General features: G+C 45.6%; 1 protein-coding gene and 1 pseudogene across 1 annotated transcript in view, besides 6 other annotated features; one reads left to right on the forward strand and one right to left on the reverse strand.

The window, feature by feature from the left end:
* Nucleotides 3,965-4,070, forward strand: RNU6-918P (RNA, U6 small nuclear 918, pseudogene; annotated as a pseudogene).
* Nucleotides 6,540-6,649: an enhancer, noted in NCBI's record as "active region_28681". NCBI's record gives its function as "activates an Ori minimal core promoter by ATAC-STARR-seq in GM12878 lymphoblastoid cells {active_cell/tissue: GM12878}" and the evidence as "EXISTENCE:reporter gene assay evidence [ECO:0000049][PMID:35858748]".
* Nucleotides 7,242-8,441: an enhancer, noted in NCBI's record as "P300/CBP strongly-dependent group 1 enhancer chr9:100797789-100798988 (GRCh37/hg19 assembly coordinates)". NCBI's record gives its function as "activates an origin of replication core promoter dependent on BRD2, BRD4, P300/CBP, MED14 and CDK7 cofactors, with strong dependence on P300/CBP, by STARR-seq in HCT116 cells {active_cell/tissue: HCT116}" and the evidence as "EXISTENCE:reporter gene assay evidence [ECO:0000049][PMID:35650434]".
* TRIM14 (tripartite motif containing 14) overlaps nt 7,532-12,136 on the reverse strand; it is an 83,426-nt gene continuing 78,821 nt past the window's right edge. Inside the window, exon 7 of the mRNA XM_047424162.1 lies at nt 7,532-7,548. The gene's annotated coding sequence lies outside the window, so the exon portion shown is untranslated. The remainder of the gene's footprint in view (nt 7,549-12,136) is intronic.
* Nucleotides 7,620-7,689: an enhancer, noted in NCBI's record as "active region_28682". NCBI's record gives its function as "activates an Ori minimal core promoter by ATAC-STARR-seq in GM12878 lymphoblastoid cells {active_cell/tissue: GM12878}" and the evidence as "EXISTENCE:reporter gene assay evidence [ECO:0000049][PMID:35858748]".
* Nucleotides 7,770-7,909: an enhancer, noted in NCBI's record as "active region_28683". NCBI's record gives its function as "activates an Ori minimal core promoter by ATAC-STARR-seq in GM12878 lymphoblastoid cells {active_cell/tissue: GM12878}" and the evidence as "EXISTENCE:reporter gene assay evidence [ECO:0000049][PMID:35858748]".
* Nucleotides 9,275-9,324: a silencer, noted in NCBI's record as "silent region_20111". NCBI's record gives its function as "represses an Ori minimal core promoter by ATAC-STARR-seq in GM12878 lymphoblastoid cells {active_cell/tissue: GM12878}" and the evidence as "EXISTENCE:reporter gene assay evidence [ECO:0000049][PMID:35858748]".
* Nucleotides 12,047-12,126: an enhancer, noted in NCBI's record as "active region_28684". NCBI's record gives its function as "activates an Ori minimal core promoter by ATAC-STARR-seq in GM12878 lymphoblastoid cells {active_cell/tissue: GM12878}" and the evidence as "EXISTENCE:reporter gene assay evidence [ECO:0000049][PMID:35858748]".

Consider the following 12,136-nt stretch of genomic DNA (forward strand, 5'->3'; position numbering starts at 1 on the left):
CCCACCTTGGCATCCCACAGTGCTGGGATTACAGGCATGAGCCACCGTGCCCAGCCCCTAAAGCCAGTTCAGATGACCCTGAAGACAGGGTCCTCAGAAGCCTAGGGTGTCACATGCATCCATGCTTCCAAGTCCACCAGTAAGATAAGGTCTGAGGTGCATCATTGCTAATCTGTCATAGAGCAATTCAAGGGTTCGGGTTGGGGTTGAGGCCAGACTAAGGAGAGCTGGGCAGTGGGAGGGATAAGTGGAGATAATAAGTGTCCTTCAAGAGGATTGGTTGTGAAGAGGAGAGAGAAGGTGAGAGGTGAAGAAAGGACAAGGGGTGTAAGGAGCTTCCCCAGCAAGCTGCAAGACCTGACCATGATTCAATGCTCATGCAAAATGCCAGCTGAAAAGGGGAGGTTGAATACACAGGAAGGGAGATAGACCATTAGGCAGGTTTTCTCCAAAAGCCTCATGATGCATAACTAAGATTGGGGTTTGAGAATTGGAGGATAGAGAATTTAAGTTTGATATAAAGAAAAAATAAGGAACAAAAGAACAGACCTGTGAATCAGTGGAAAGGTCTTTGCAGACAAAGATGGGACTGTTGGTACTTGTGAATACTGCAGAAAGAGATCCTAGCTCCATATACAGGTTGGACAAAATGAGGGCTGAAGTGCCTTTCAAAGATTTAAATTCTTGATCCCATCCCACATTTTATTTTATGGCGAGGGGGTGCACAATTTACAAATGAACTACATATTTCTGATTGAGAATGGCTAATAAAATTCTCATTATTTCATTCAAGGTCCCTAAATACCCACTGTGTTCCAAGCACTGGGTTGGGACACAGCAGATCTGAGTTCCATACACTAAGCCTTTTCCACTTAATGTCAGTTATTTAAATGGATCAGGTCAAGTGCGATAGTGCGCACCTGTAATCTTAGCTACTCAAGAGGCTGAGGTGGGAGGATGGCTTGAGGCCAGGAATTGGAGGCTGCAGTGTGCTATAATCACACCTGTGAATAGCCACTGCACTCCAGCCTAGGCAATGTGGCAAGATCCCATCTCTAAAAATAAAAATAAACAATTTTAAAAGGGCTGGGCATAGTGGCTCACATCTGTAATTCCAGCACTTTGAGAGGCCAAGGCCGGAGGATTTTTTGAGGCCAGGAGTTTGAGAACAGCCTGGGCCACAAAGTAAGATCCCCATCTCTACAAAAAAAATTTAAAAATTAGCTGGGCATGGTAGCATGTACCTGTAGTCCAGTTTCTTGGGTGGCTGAGGCAGAAGGATCCCTTGAACCCAGGAGATCAAGGTTACAGTGAACTGTGATCACACCTCTGTACTCCAGCCTGGAGTACACTGGGCAACAGAGTGAGACCCTGTCTCTTAAAAAAAATAAAAAATAAAAAATGGGATCAATTTCTGTATAAGTCATTGTTTGCACTCACCTTGTTGGTAAACTGGGAGCAGCTGCGGCTGGAGGACAGTTGAGGCATGTTATCTTGGGATTGCTGAATGCTGCAGTTCACAGTGGGGAGGATCTCCACTTCATTCCTTCTTTACCATCTCAAGAGCTCCTGAGAAAGCTGGAGGTTTGGCCGGGTATGGTGGCTCATGCCTGTAACCCCAGCATTTTTGGAGGCTGAGGCGGGCAGATCACTTGAGGCCAGGAGTTCAGGACCAGCCTGGCCAACATGGTGAAACCCTGTCTCTACTAAAAATACAAAAATTATCTAGGCATGGTGGTGCGCACCTGTAGTCCCAGCTATGTGGGAGGTTGAGGCATGAGAATCTCTTGAACCAGGAGGTGGAGGCTGCAGTGAGCCAAGATTGTGCCACTGCACTCCAGCCTGATCGAGAGAGTGAGACTCCATCTCCAAACAAAAAAAAAAAAAAAAAAAAAAAAAAAAGGAAAAAGAAGAAAGGTGGAGGTTTTTGGAGCATTCTCAGAGTGCAGTATTTGTTTCTAAGTCTCAGCAGGGGATGTAGAGATGGGGCAGAGGCAGGTGGTTCTTCCATTCCACCCCAAACCTCACTGGACTCAGACTCTCAGGGATACACTATAATGACTGCTAACTTTGGTAGCACCTGCACCTAGTGTAGCTTCCTAATGCTTCCGTGAATCCCAGGGAGAACACTGTAAAATGATCATATGATCTTTTATTTCTCACTTAATTCATTCTGTGTCATTCCATTGGTTTGTGAATTGTGTCAATAGATAGAAAGTTTGGACTGTGGGTGTCTGGAAATATATCCACCCCTTCTACATTAATTCTTATGAAAAAATATTTTATTCACCTTTTTTACTGTAAGATGAATTTCCCAGTAATGTAACCTTGATGCAAATAAATGCTCTAACCGTTGTGCCAAAAGTTGCAATTAATAAACCCAATGTCTTGTTCTTCTTCTCAACCCAATTCTAAAATGAGGGTTTTCTCTAAGATGCAAATTCTAACACACACGAATAATCTTCTCATATAAGGTTGATGGTTTCTCTAACACAAAACTCTTAACAGTCTGGATATAAAGTGGCTGTACTAGGATGTATTCAATTTCATAAAGTTCTCTACAGCTTGTAGCTCCATTAGAAACAAATCTCAGCGTCTCAAAAACCCTCAGAAAACTAGGAATAGAGGGAACTTCCTGAATTTGATTAAGAACATCTACAAAACCCTGCATTTAATACTATACTTAATGGTGAAAAATGGAATGCTTTCTTTCTAAGATTGGGAACAAGGCAAGGATGTCCACTCTCACCACTCTTATTCAACATACAACTGAACATTCTAGGCAGTGTAACAGGCAAGAAAGAAAAGAAAAGAAAAGGCACACATTTCAGAAAGGCAAAAATAAAATGGTCTGTATTTGCAGATGATACGATGTGGTAGAAAGTCCCAAAGAATCTACACACACACACACACACACACACACACACACACATACACACACACATACACACATACAAAATTCCTAGAATCTATATACTAATGAACATATGGAAACCAAAATTAAAAATAAAATACCATTTATAATCACTCAAAACATGGAATATTTGGGTGGAAATCTAACAAAACATGTATAGGATTTCTATGCTGAAAACTATAAAATGCTGATGAAGGAAATCAAAGAATATCTAAATAAACTGAGAGGTAAAACTGTGTTCATGGGTTGGAAGACTAAACATAATAAAGTTGTCAATTATTCCCATATTGGCACACTTTCTATCAAAATTCCAACAAAATCTATTTCTTGCAAATATTGACAAAACTTTTCTAAAATTTATGTGGAAAGGCAAAGGAACTAGAATAGCTAGAATAATTTTAGATGGTTTATTAAAATTTAGCTAATTTTAGAGAAAAATCAGTCTACCTAAGTTCAAAACCTGTTATATGGTCACAGTGTGGTTCTGGCCCAGGAATAGCACACAGATCAATGGAACAGAACACAGAACTCGGAAACAGAGCCACACAACTATTTTTGACTGCTGATTTTTGACAAAGGTGCAAAAGCAATCAATGGAGACAAGTCTTTTCAACAAATGGTGCTGAAGCAACTGGACATCTATAGGCCCCAAAATCAACCAAACAACAAAACTTTGACATAAGTCTCATATATTGTACAAAAATTAACTTAAAATGGACCTCAGTGCCAGACGTGGTGGCTCACGCCTGTCATCCTAACACTTTAGGAGGCCAAGGAGGGAGGATCACTTGAGGCCAGAAGTTTGAGACCAACATGGCAAGACCTTGTCTCTACAAAAAACACAAAAATTTGTTGAGCATTGTGGGGCACACTTGCAGTCCCAGCTACTACAGAGGTTGTGGTGGAAGGATCGCTTGAGCTTGGGTGATGGAGGCTGCAGCAAGCTATGACTGCATCACTGCATTCCAGCCTGGGTGACAGAGCAAAATCCTGTCTCAAAAAAAAAAAAAGACCTCAGACTAAAATGTAAACATAAGACCATAAGACTTTCTGCTCACTTTGGCAACACATAAACCAAAACTGGAATGATACAGAGTAGATTAGCATGGCCCCATGTAAGGATGATATAAAAATTTGTGAAGCATTTCATATTTTAAAAACAATTCTATAAAAAATTTAGAAAAAAAAAAGAAGCACAGGAGAAAACATTTGGGATCTAGAGTGAGACAAAGAGCTCTTAAACTTAGCCCCCAAAACATGATTCATAAAAGGAAACATTTATATATTGGACTTTGTCAAAATTAAAAGCTTTTGCTCTGCAAAAGACCTTGTAAAGAGGATAAAAAGACAAGCTACAGCTACAGACTGGGAGAAAATATTTGCAAACCACATACCTGACAAAAGGACTAGTAACTAGAAATATGAAGCACTCTCAAAACTCAACAGCAAAAAAACAAGAATAGAATTAGAAAATGGGCAAAAGACATGAAGAGATTTCACTGAAGAGGATATACAGAAGGCAAATAAGCACATGAAAAGATGTTCAACATTATTATTAGCCATTTGGGAAATGCAAATTAAAATCACAATGAGATATCACTGCACTCCTCTCAGAATGGAAAAAATGAAAAATAAGGACAACACCAAATGCTAGTGAGAATGCAGAGAAACTGATCAATTATATATGTCTGGTGAGAATGTAAAATCATACAGCCACTCTGGAAAACAGTTTGGCAGTTTCTTATAAAAATGAAACATGTGCCAGGCACAGTGGCTCACGCCTGTAATCCCAGCACTTTGGGAGGCTGAGGCGGGTGGATCACTTAAGGTCAGGAGTTCGAGACCAGCCTGACCAACGTGGTGAAACCCATCTCTACTAAAAATACAAAAATTAGCCGGGCATGGTGGTGCATGCCTGTAATCTCAGCTACTCAGGAGGCTGAGGCGGGAGAATCGCTTGAACCCAGGAGACAGAAGTTGTGGTGATTGAGATCACACCACTGCATGCCAGCCTAGGCAACAGAGTGAGACTCCATCTCAAAAAAATTAAAATAAAATAAAAAATAAATAAAAAGGAACACACTACCCATACACAAAACAACCAGGATGAATCTCCAGGGAATCATGCTGAGGGAAAAAAGCCAGCCCCCAAAGGTTACAGAACTGCATGGTTCTGTTTATTAAAAACCCTCTTAAAATGACACAATTATAGAAATGGAAAATATTAGTGGTTGGCAGAGGTTAGGGAGGGGGTGGGGCTGGAGGGAAGTGGGTGTGGCTATACAAATCAAAATGATGGGTTTATTGGGGTGTTATGGGGTGATTCAGAAAATCCAAGGAAGGGTCTCAAAAGAGTTGAAACTGGGCAGCTCTGGGCAACTCAGTTGGCAGAAGTTTATGGACTTGCCATTCCTCATGATTTCCGGGCTACAGAGTCATCATTAGCAGAGAGAATCGTGAGAGAAGAGAACCTGGTTGATAGAGCTTTGGAAGGATAGCCAAACATCAAGGCTGGGCACAATGTCTCATGCCTATAATCCCAGCACTTTGGGAAGCTGAGGTGGGAGGATGACTTGAGCCCAGGAGTTTGAGACTAGCCTGGGTAACATGGCAAAACCCCATCTCTACCAAAAAACATTATCTGGGCAGGGTGGCACACATTTGTGGTCCCCAGCTACTCAGGAGGCTGAGGTGGGAGGATCACTGAGCCTGGGAGTTCAAGGCTGCAGGTGCCACTGCATTCCAGCTTGGGTGACAGAGTGAGACCCTGTCTCAAAAAAAAAAAAAAAAATCCACATCCTTGTTATTATTTATCTTTCCAATTTTAAATATCCTAGCAAGTGCGAAGTGGTATCTCACCATGGGTTTGGTTTGCATTTCCTGATAGTTAACTATGTTGAGCATCTTTTCATGTGCTTATTGACCCAGAGATGATCTTCTATCACATGTCTGCATCAGGTTGGTCAGCTTCCGGGGACAGTATCACACGGCGGAGCCCAAGTTACTATGGGGCGCTCTGGTTCCTGGGGTTGTTTTCAGAGATGACCATGAGGAAGCAGTGTGGTGAGAAAGGTCTCCCATGAAGATACGGATTTTTTTTGTTTTGTTTTTGTTTTTTTTCGAGACAGGGTCTTACTCTGTTGCCCAAGCTGGAGTGCAATGGCACGATCTTGGCTCACTGCAATATCCACCGCCCAGGTTCAAGCGATTCTCCTGCCTCAGCCTCCCAAGTAGCTGAGACTACAGGCGCCCACCACCACACCCAGCTAATTTTTGTATTTTTAGTAGAGACGGGGTTTCACCATGTTGGCCAGGCTGGTCTCGAACTCCTGACCTCAGGTGATCCTCCTGCCACTGCACCTGGGGAAATTTTGAAGCCCTAGAATGGAGGAGATTCCCAATGACAGTGAGGGAGAAGCGTGAGAGTTGTGAAAGCTTTGGGGACCCTTTGAAGTTAAGGGTGAGATGAGAAGGTGGAGACACGTCAGACCAACTGTCCTAACTGGGTACGGGGAGGGGCAGGACCAGCCAAACTAGGGATGAGGCCAGTGACAGGGATAAACTGTCAAGATGAGGTCTGAGGGTGGGAAGGTCCCCGCAGGTTGCGGGCGGTGGAAACAGGCATGGGAGCAGGGGCTCAGGAATGAGACCCCTCCCTGAGTGTTTCGGCAGGTCTGAGCCAACGGGGCCTTACACACCTCTTCTCACGTAGTCCTCACTACTGCCCTCTGGTGGTGGCTGTCTCCATTTCACAGGGGAGGACGTTGAGAAGTTCCTCTGCGTGAAAGGACAGAGCTGGGAGGTGAACCCCGGCCTGAATTATCCAAAACCCTGTGCACTTCTCAGGACACTGTAGTGTTCCAGGACCCCATAGGGACCCAGTGAGGGAAGAGATTATTATCATTTGGAAGACATTTGGGGTGGGGGTCTCAGCCAAAACATCAACTCATCAGAAAGACTCCTCTTGGCCACCCATCTAAAGAAGGTCCCTTTCCTCATTTCTCACGCGGCACTCAATTAGTTTCTTCACTGCCCTCATCATAATTCAAGACCATATAGTTATACGTGAATATAGTTTACTTTTATTGTAAACTACAGTTTGCAGGAAAAGGACCGTGGAGGCCTCTTTTGTTCCGCATTCTATCCCCAGCACCTGCTGTGGTACCAGGCACGCAAGCAGGCACTCGAAACTGCTTTGGTGGATGCAGCAGTGGGGTGCACTGGAAAACGGAGGCAAATGAGGGATGTCAGAGGTCACAAGCCTCCACCAGAGACTGAAGGTGTTGACTTTCACCCCCCACACCCTCCAGAGTGTGATGGGGGGTTTGCTCTCTCAGGGTCAGCATAAAAATGATGCTTATGTTACAGGGATGAGAACCAAGGTTGGGGAAGCAGAAAGTAGGTGGTGTGACCAGCGAGGGTGTGATCAGCAAGGGTGCCGAAAATGGGACAACTGACAGCCTTGGAAGAAGCAGGTTCTTTGGCCATGGGACCTGAGGCAGGCCCTCAGCAGCTGGGGTTGGGCAGCTTGGGTGGCTCCATGCTTCACTTCTTCCTCTGAGGAACTGGCCAGAAAGCTGACTTCAGCGACGACTCAGGGAACAGTCAGGTTCACCCAAGGGGCAGAATGTGGCCTGAGAACAGATGAAGTCAGTTACGCCTCAGTCATCGCTGTCATATTTTCTCTTCTGCACTTGCTCATTCAGAAAATATTTATTGGCATCTACTAGGTATTAAGAAGTCCTTGTAGGCCGGGTGTGGTGGCTCACGGCTGTAATCCCAGCACTTTGGGAGGCCGAGGTGGGTGGATTACGAGGTCAGGAATTCGAGACCAGCCTGACCAACATGGTGAAACCCCATCTCTACTAAAAATACAAAAATTAGCCAGGCGTGGTGGCATGTGCCTGTAATCCCAGCTGAGGCAGGAGAATCGCTTGGACCCAGGAAGCGGAGGTTGCAGTGAGCAGAGATCGTGCCATTGCATTCCAGCCTGGGCAACAGAGTGAGACTCTGTCTCAAAAAAACAGAAAAAAAGAAAAAGAAAAAGAAAAAAAGAAGTCCTTGTAATGCCAGCACTTTGGGAGGCCGAGGCAGGCAGATCACCTGAGGTCAAGATTTTGAGACCAGCCTGGCCAACATGGTGAAAACCCATCTCTACTAAAAATACGAAAATTAGCCAGGCCTGGTGGCATGTGCCTATACTCCCAACTACTTGGGAAGCTGAAGCAGGAGAATCGCAGGAATCTGGGAGGCAGAGGTTGCAGTGAGCCAAGATCATGCCACTACACTCCAACCTGGGTGACAGAGTGAGACTCCATCTGAAAAAAAAAAAAAAAAAAATGCTAGGCAAGGTGGCTCACATCTGTAATCCCAGCACTTTGGGAGGTTCAGATGGGTGGATCACCTGAGGTTAGGAGTTCAAAACCAGCCTAACCAACATGGAGAAACCCCATCTCTACTGAAAATACAGTATTAGCCAGGGGGATTGGGGGCTCATGCCTGTAATCCCAGCTACTCAGGAGGCTGAGGCAGGAGAATTGCTTGAACCCGGGAGGCAGAGCTTACGGTGAGCCCAGATCGCACCATTGCATTCCAGCCTGGGCAACAAGAGTGAAACTCGGTCTCAAAAAAACAAAACAAAACAAAAAGTCCTGTGCTTGGTGCTGGGGATAGAGTAGGAGAGAGTCCATGCCCTGATCCCCTGGCCCCGTAGGACACAGTGACAATGCAAGGCTCCAGGCAACCTCAGGCAGAGGCCTGACCTGACTTGTCACCTTGTCTCTCTAGGGCTTTGCCCTGGGTTCAGTGCTGGGAAGGTACTCCAAATGGTTCCTTAACTGAAGGCGCCTACACTCTAGAGGGAATGACAGACAAAAGAGGCAGATGTCATAAAGGGTGAGAAGTGGGCAAAGAAGGGGCCGGGCACGGTGGCTCACACCTGTAATCCCAGCACTTTGGGAGGCTGAGGCAGGAGGATCACTTGAGGTCAGGGGTTTGAGACCAGCCTGGCCAACATGGTGAAAGCCTGTCTCTACTAAAAATACAAAAATAAGCTGGGTGTGGTGGCAGGCACCTGTAATCCCAGCTACTTGGGAGGCTGAAGCAGGAGAATTGATCAAACCCAGGAGGTGGAGGTTGCAGTGAGCTGAGATCGTGCCACTGCACTCCAGTCCGGGCGACAGAGCAAGACTCCATCTCAAACAAACAAACAAACAAAAAAAAGTGGGTGAAGAAGAGGGTCTTGTGGGAGCCCAGAGATGGTTACTGGGGAGATCAGAGAAAGTTCTGAGAGGAAGCAGCTTGTGCACTGAAGGACCTGCAGACAGTAGCCAGGCAAGGCTCAGTGTGGGAGGGTGGAGGAGTGGGGAGTGTGCAGGAACAGGAAACAGGCTGTGCCAAGACCTGGAGGTGACAGAACATGATCCTTTAGGGAACTCAAAATAGTTCTGTGTAGCTGGAGCACAGAGTGGCAAAAAATTAGGCAGGAGTCCTAAAGGCTAGAAGAAGTTTTCTAGGAGCCAACTTCAAAAGGAGCTTGGCACAGTTGGGGTAGCCACTGGGGCCTCAAACTCCAGAGGGTCTAATCTGGAAACTGGACCCCCATCCTCAACCTTGACCCCGTGACCTAGCACTCTGGGTACTCTAGCTTCTCCAAACTAAGTTCTTCCTTGCCTTCTCCTGTTAACAACAGGAAAGAGTCTGGTTTAATATGTTGTTATTACTTGTTTTTCTTTGAGATGGGATCTCATAATGTTGCCCAGGCTGGCCTCTAACTCCTGGGCTCAAGCAATCCTCATGGCCTCAGCCTCCCAAGTAGCTGGAAGGCTACAGGTACATGCCAGTGCACCCGGCTCTTATTTTTATTTTTATTTTATTGTATTTTATTTTTGAGATGGAGTCTTTCTGTGTCACCCAGGCTGTAGTACAGTGGCATGATCTCGGCTCACTGCAACCTCCACCTCTTGAGTTGAAGCTATTCTCCTGCCTCAGCCTCCTGAGTAGCTGGGATTACAGGCACGAGCCACCATGTCCAGCTAATGTTTTGTATTTTTAGTAGAGATGGGTTTTCACCATGTTGGTCAGGCTGGTCTCAAACTCCTGACCTCAAGTTATCTGCCCACCTAAGCCTCCCAAAGTGCTGGGACTACAGGCATGAGCTACCAAGCCCGGCCTAATTTATTTTTAAAGAACTTCCTACATGTTCTCAGCCATTTGGACAGATTGAACATTGATTCATTATCCAAGCAGAAAAAGCACCAGAAACTGACTTTAAATCCAAGAATAAGAGTGGAATGAAAATTGATTCTTTCCTCTTTACTATAGTAAGACAAAGTACTACGTTACTTTACTGAAAATTTTTATTTAGTCACAAATGAGCCTAACTTGCTTTCGTGAGATGACTATTTTTAAATGTGATTTCTCTTTTTTCCTTTTAATTTCCACTTATTCACAAATTATACAAAACTGCAATAGCTTTCTTCAGTCAAAAGCGACTGAGTTACTTTAGTGCTGGATTTCATTTTCTCTGTGATCAGAGTCCGCTGCTCAGCCTCACCCCAGAATGTGAAGGCCATTTAAACCTGAGACACGGCCAGGTGTGGTGGCTCATGCCTGTAATCCCAGCACTTTGGGAGGCCGAGGCAGGCGGATTATGAGGTCAGGAGTCTGAGACCAGTCTGGCCAGCATAGTGAAACCCCGCCTCTACTAAAAAATACAAAAATTAGCCAGGTGTGGTAGCAGGTGCCTGTAGTCCCAGCTACTGGGGAGGCTGAGGCAGGAGAATCGCTTGAACCCAGGAGGCAGAGGTTGCAGTGAGCCGAGGTCGCGCCACTGCACCCCAGCCTGGCGACAGAGAGAGACTACGTCTAAAAAAAAAAACCAAAAAAAACCTGAGACACTAAACACATGCCCTCTAGAGTAGCACACCCGTATTTCATGCATGATAAGTGAACCTGCTTCAACCTTCCTCCCTCTTATTTTTACTTTTAGAGACAGACTCTCACTCCATTGCCCAGGCTGGAGTGCAGTAGCATGTCACGGCTCACTGCAGCCTCCACCTCTGGAGGCTCAAGCAATCTTCCTGCCTCAGCCTCTTGGGTAGCTGTGTAGCTGGGACTGAAACTGCCTTTGCAAAATTATGACTGGGACAGTGAAAGAGCTCTAACTTAACTGACTCCAACTTGCTTCTAACCTCCAAGCTGTCCTTGTTCATTCCTGGGCGTAGGCTGAACTAACTTTGGGAGAAAATTAGTTTATAGTTTAAACAAAGACAGTAACAGCCCTTTCCCAAAGCAGACCTCCTTCTTGCCTGGGCTCTAGATTGCCTTTGTAGGACTAATATTAGACATAAGATTAGAAATTATGGTTCAAGAGTCACACAGCTGGAGGGGGACAAGATTCTGACCCTCCCTAAACTGCTCCTAAGGTCACTGCTTGAGATATTTTGCAGACGCTGCACTTGATGGATCAGCTGGCCCTACCCAGATCGATAAACTGGCTCAGCTGATCTTGCAGCCCCGACCCAGGAACTGACTCTGTGCAAGAAGAGAGCTCCGACTCCCTATGATTTCATCCCTGAACAATCAGCACTCCGGCTCACTGGCTTCCCCCACCCAGCAAGTTATCCTTAAAATCTCTGCTCCCTGAATGCTCAGGGAGACTGATTTGAGTAATAATGAAACTCCAGCCTCCCGCACAGCCGGCTCTGCATGAATTACTCTTTCTCTATTGCACTTCCCATGTCTTCATGAATTGACACTGTCTAGCAGCGGGTAAGGTGAACCCCTGGGTGGTTACAGGACCACAGGCACGCGCCACCATGTCTGGCTAACTTTTTTAGTTTTTGTAGAGACCAGGTCTCACTATGTTGCCTAGGCTGCTCTTGAACTCCTGGGCTCAAGTGGTCCTCCTGCCTCAGCCTCGCAAAGTTCTGAGATTACAGGCATGAGCCACTGTACCCGGCATCTCTCTCTTTCCTTTGGTTGCCTCCTGTTGGTCTCCAAACACGCACTTCCTCAGAACCCCTCAACTCTTTGGATTCCTCCAGCCCAGGGTCCATTTTCCACCTGCTTTGACAACTGAGCTTTTTCAAGAAAGGGCTATTTTCACTTTTTCTATTTCTTCAACTCCCCTTTGCCACCAAATCTGCTGTCTCCAAGTGGCCCCTGATCCCCATGGCCACTGGTGTCTTCTCGTTCCTCATTCTCCTGGACTGCTCGGGG

Source organism: Homo sapiens, chromosome 9 (assembly GCF_000001405.40).
Source record: "Homo sapiens chromosome 9, GRCh38.p14 Primary Assembly".
NCBI classification, from domain to species: Eukaryota; Metazoa; Chordata; class Mammalia; order Primates; family Hominidae; genus Homo; species Homo sapiens.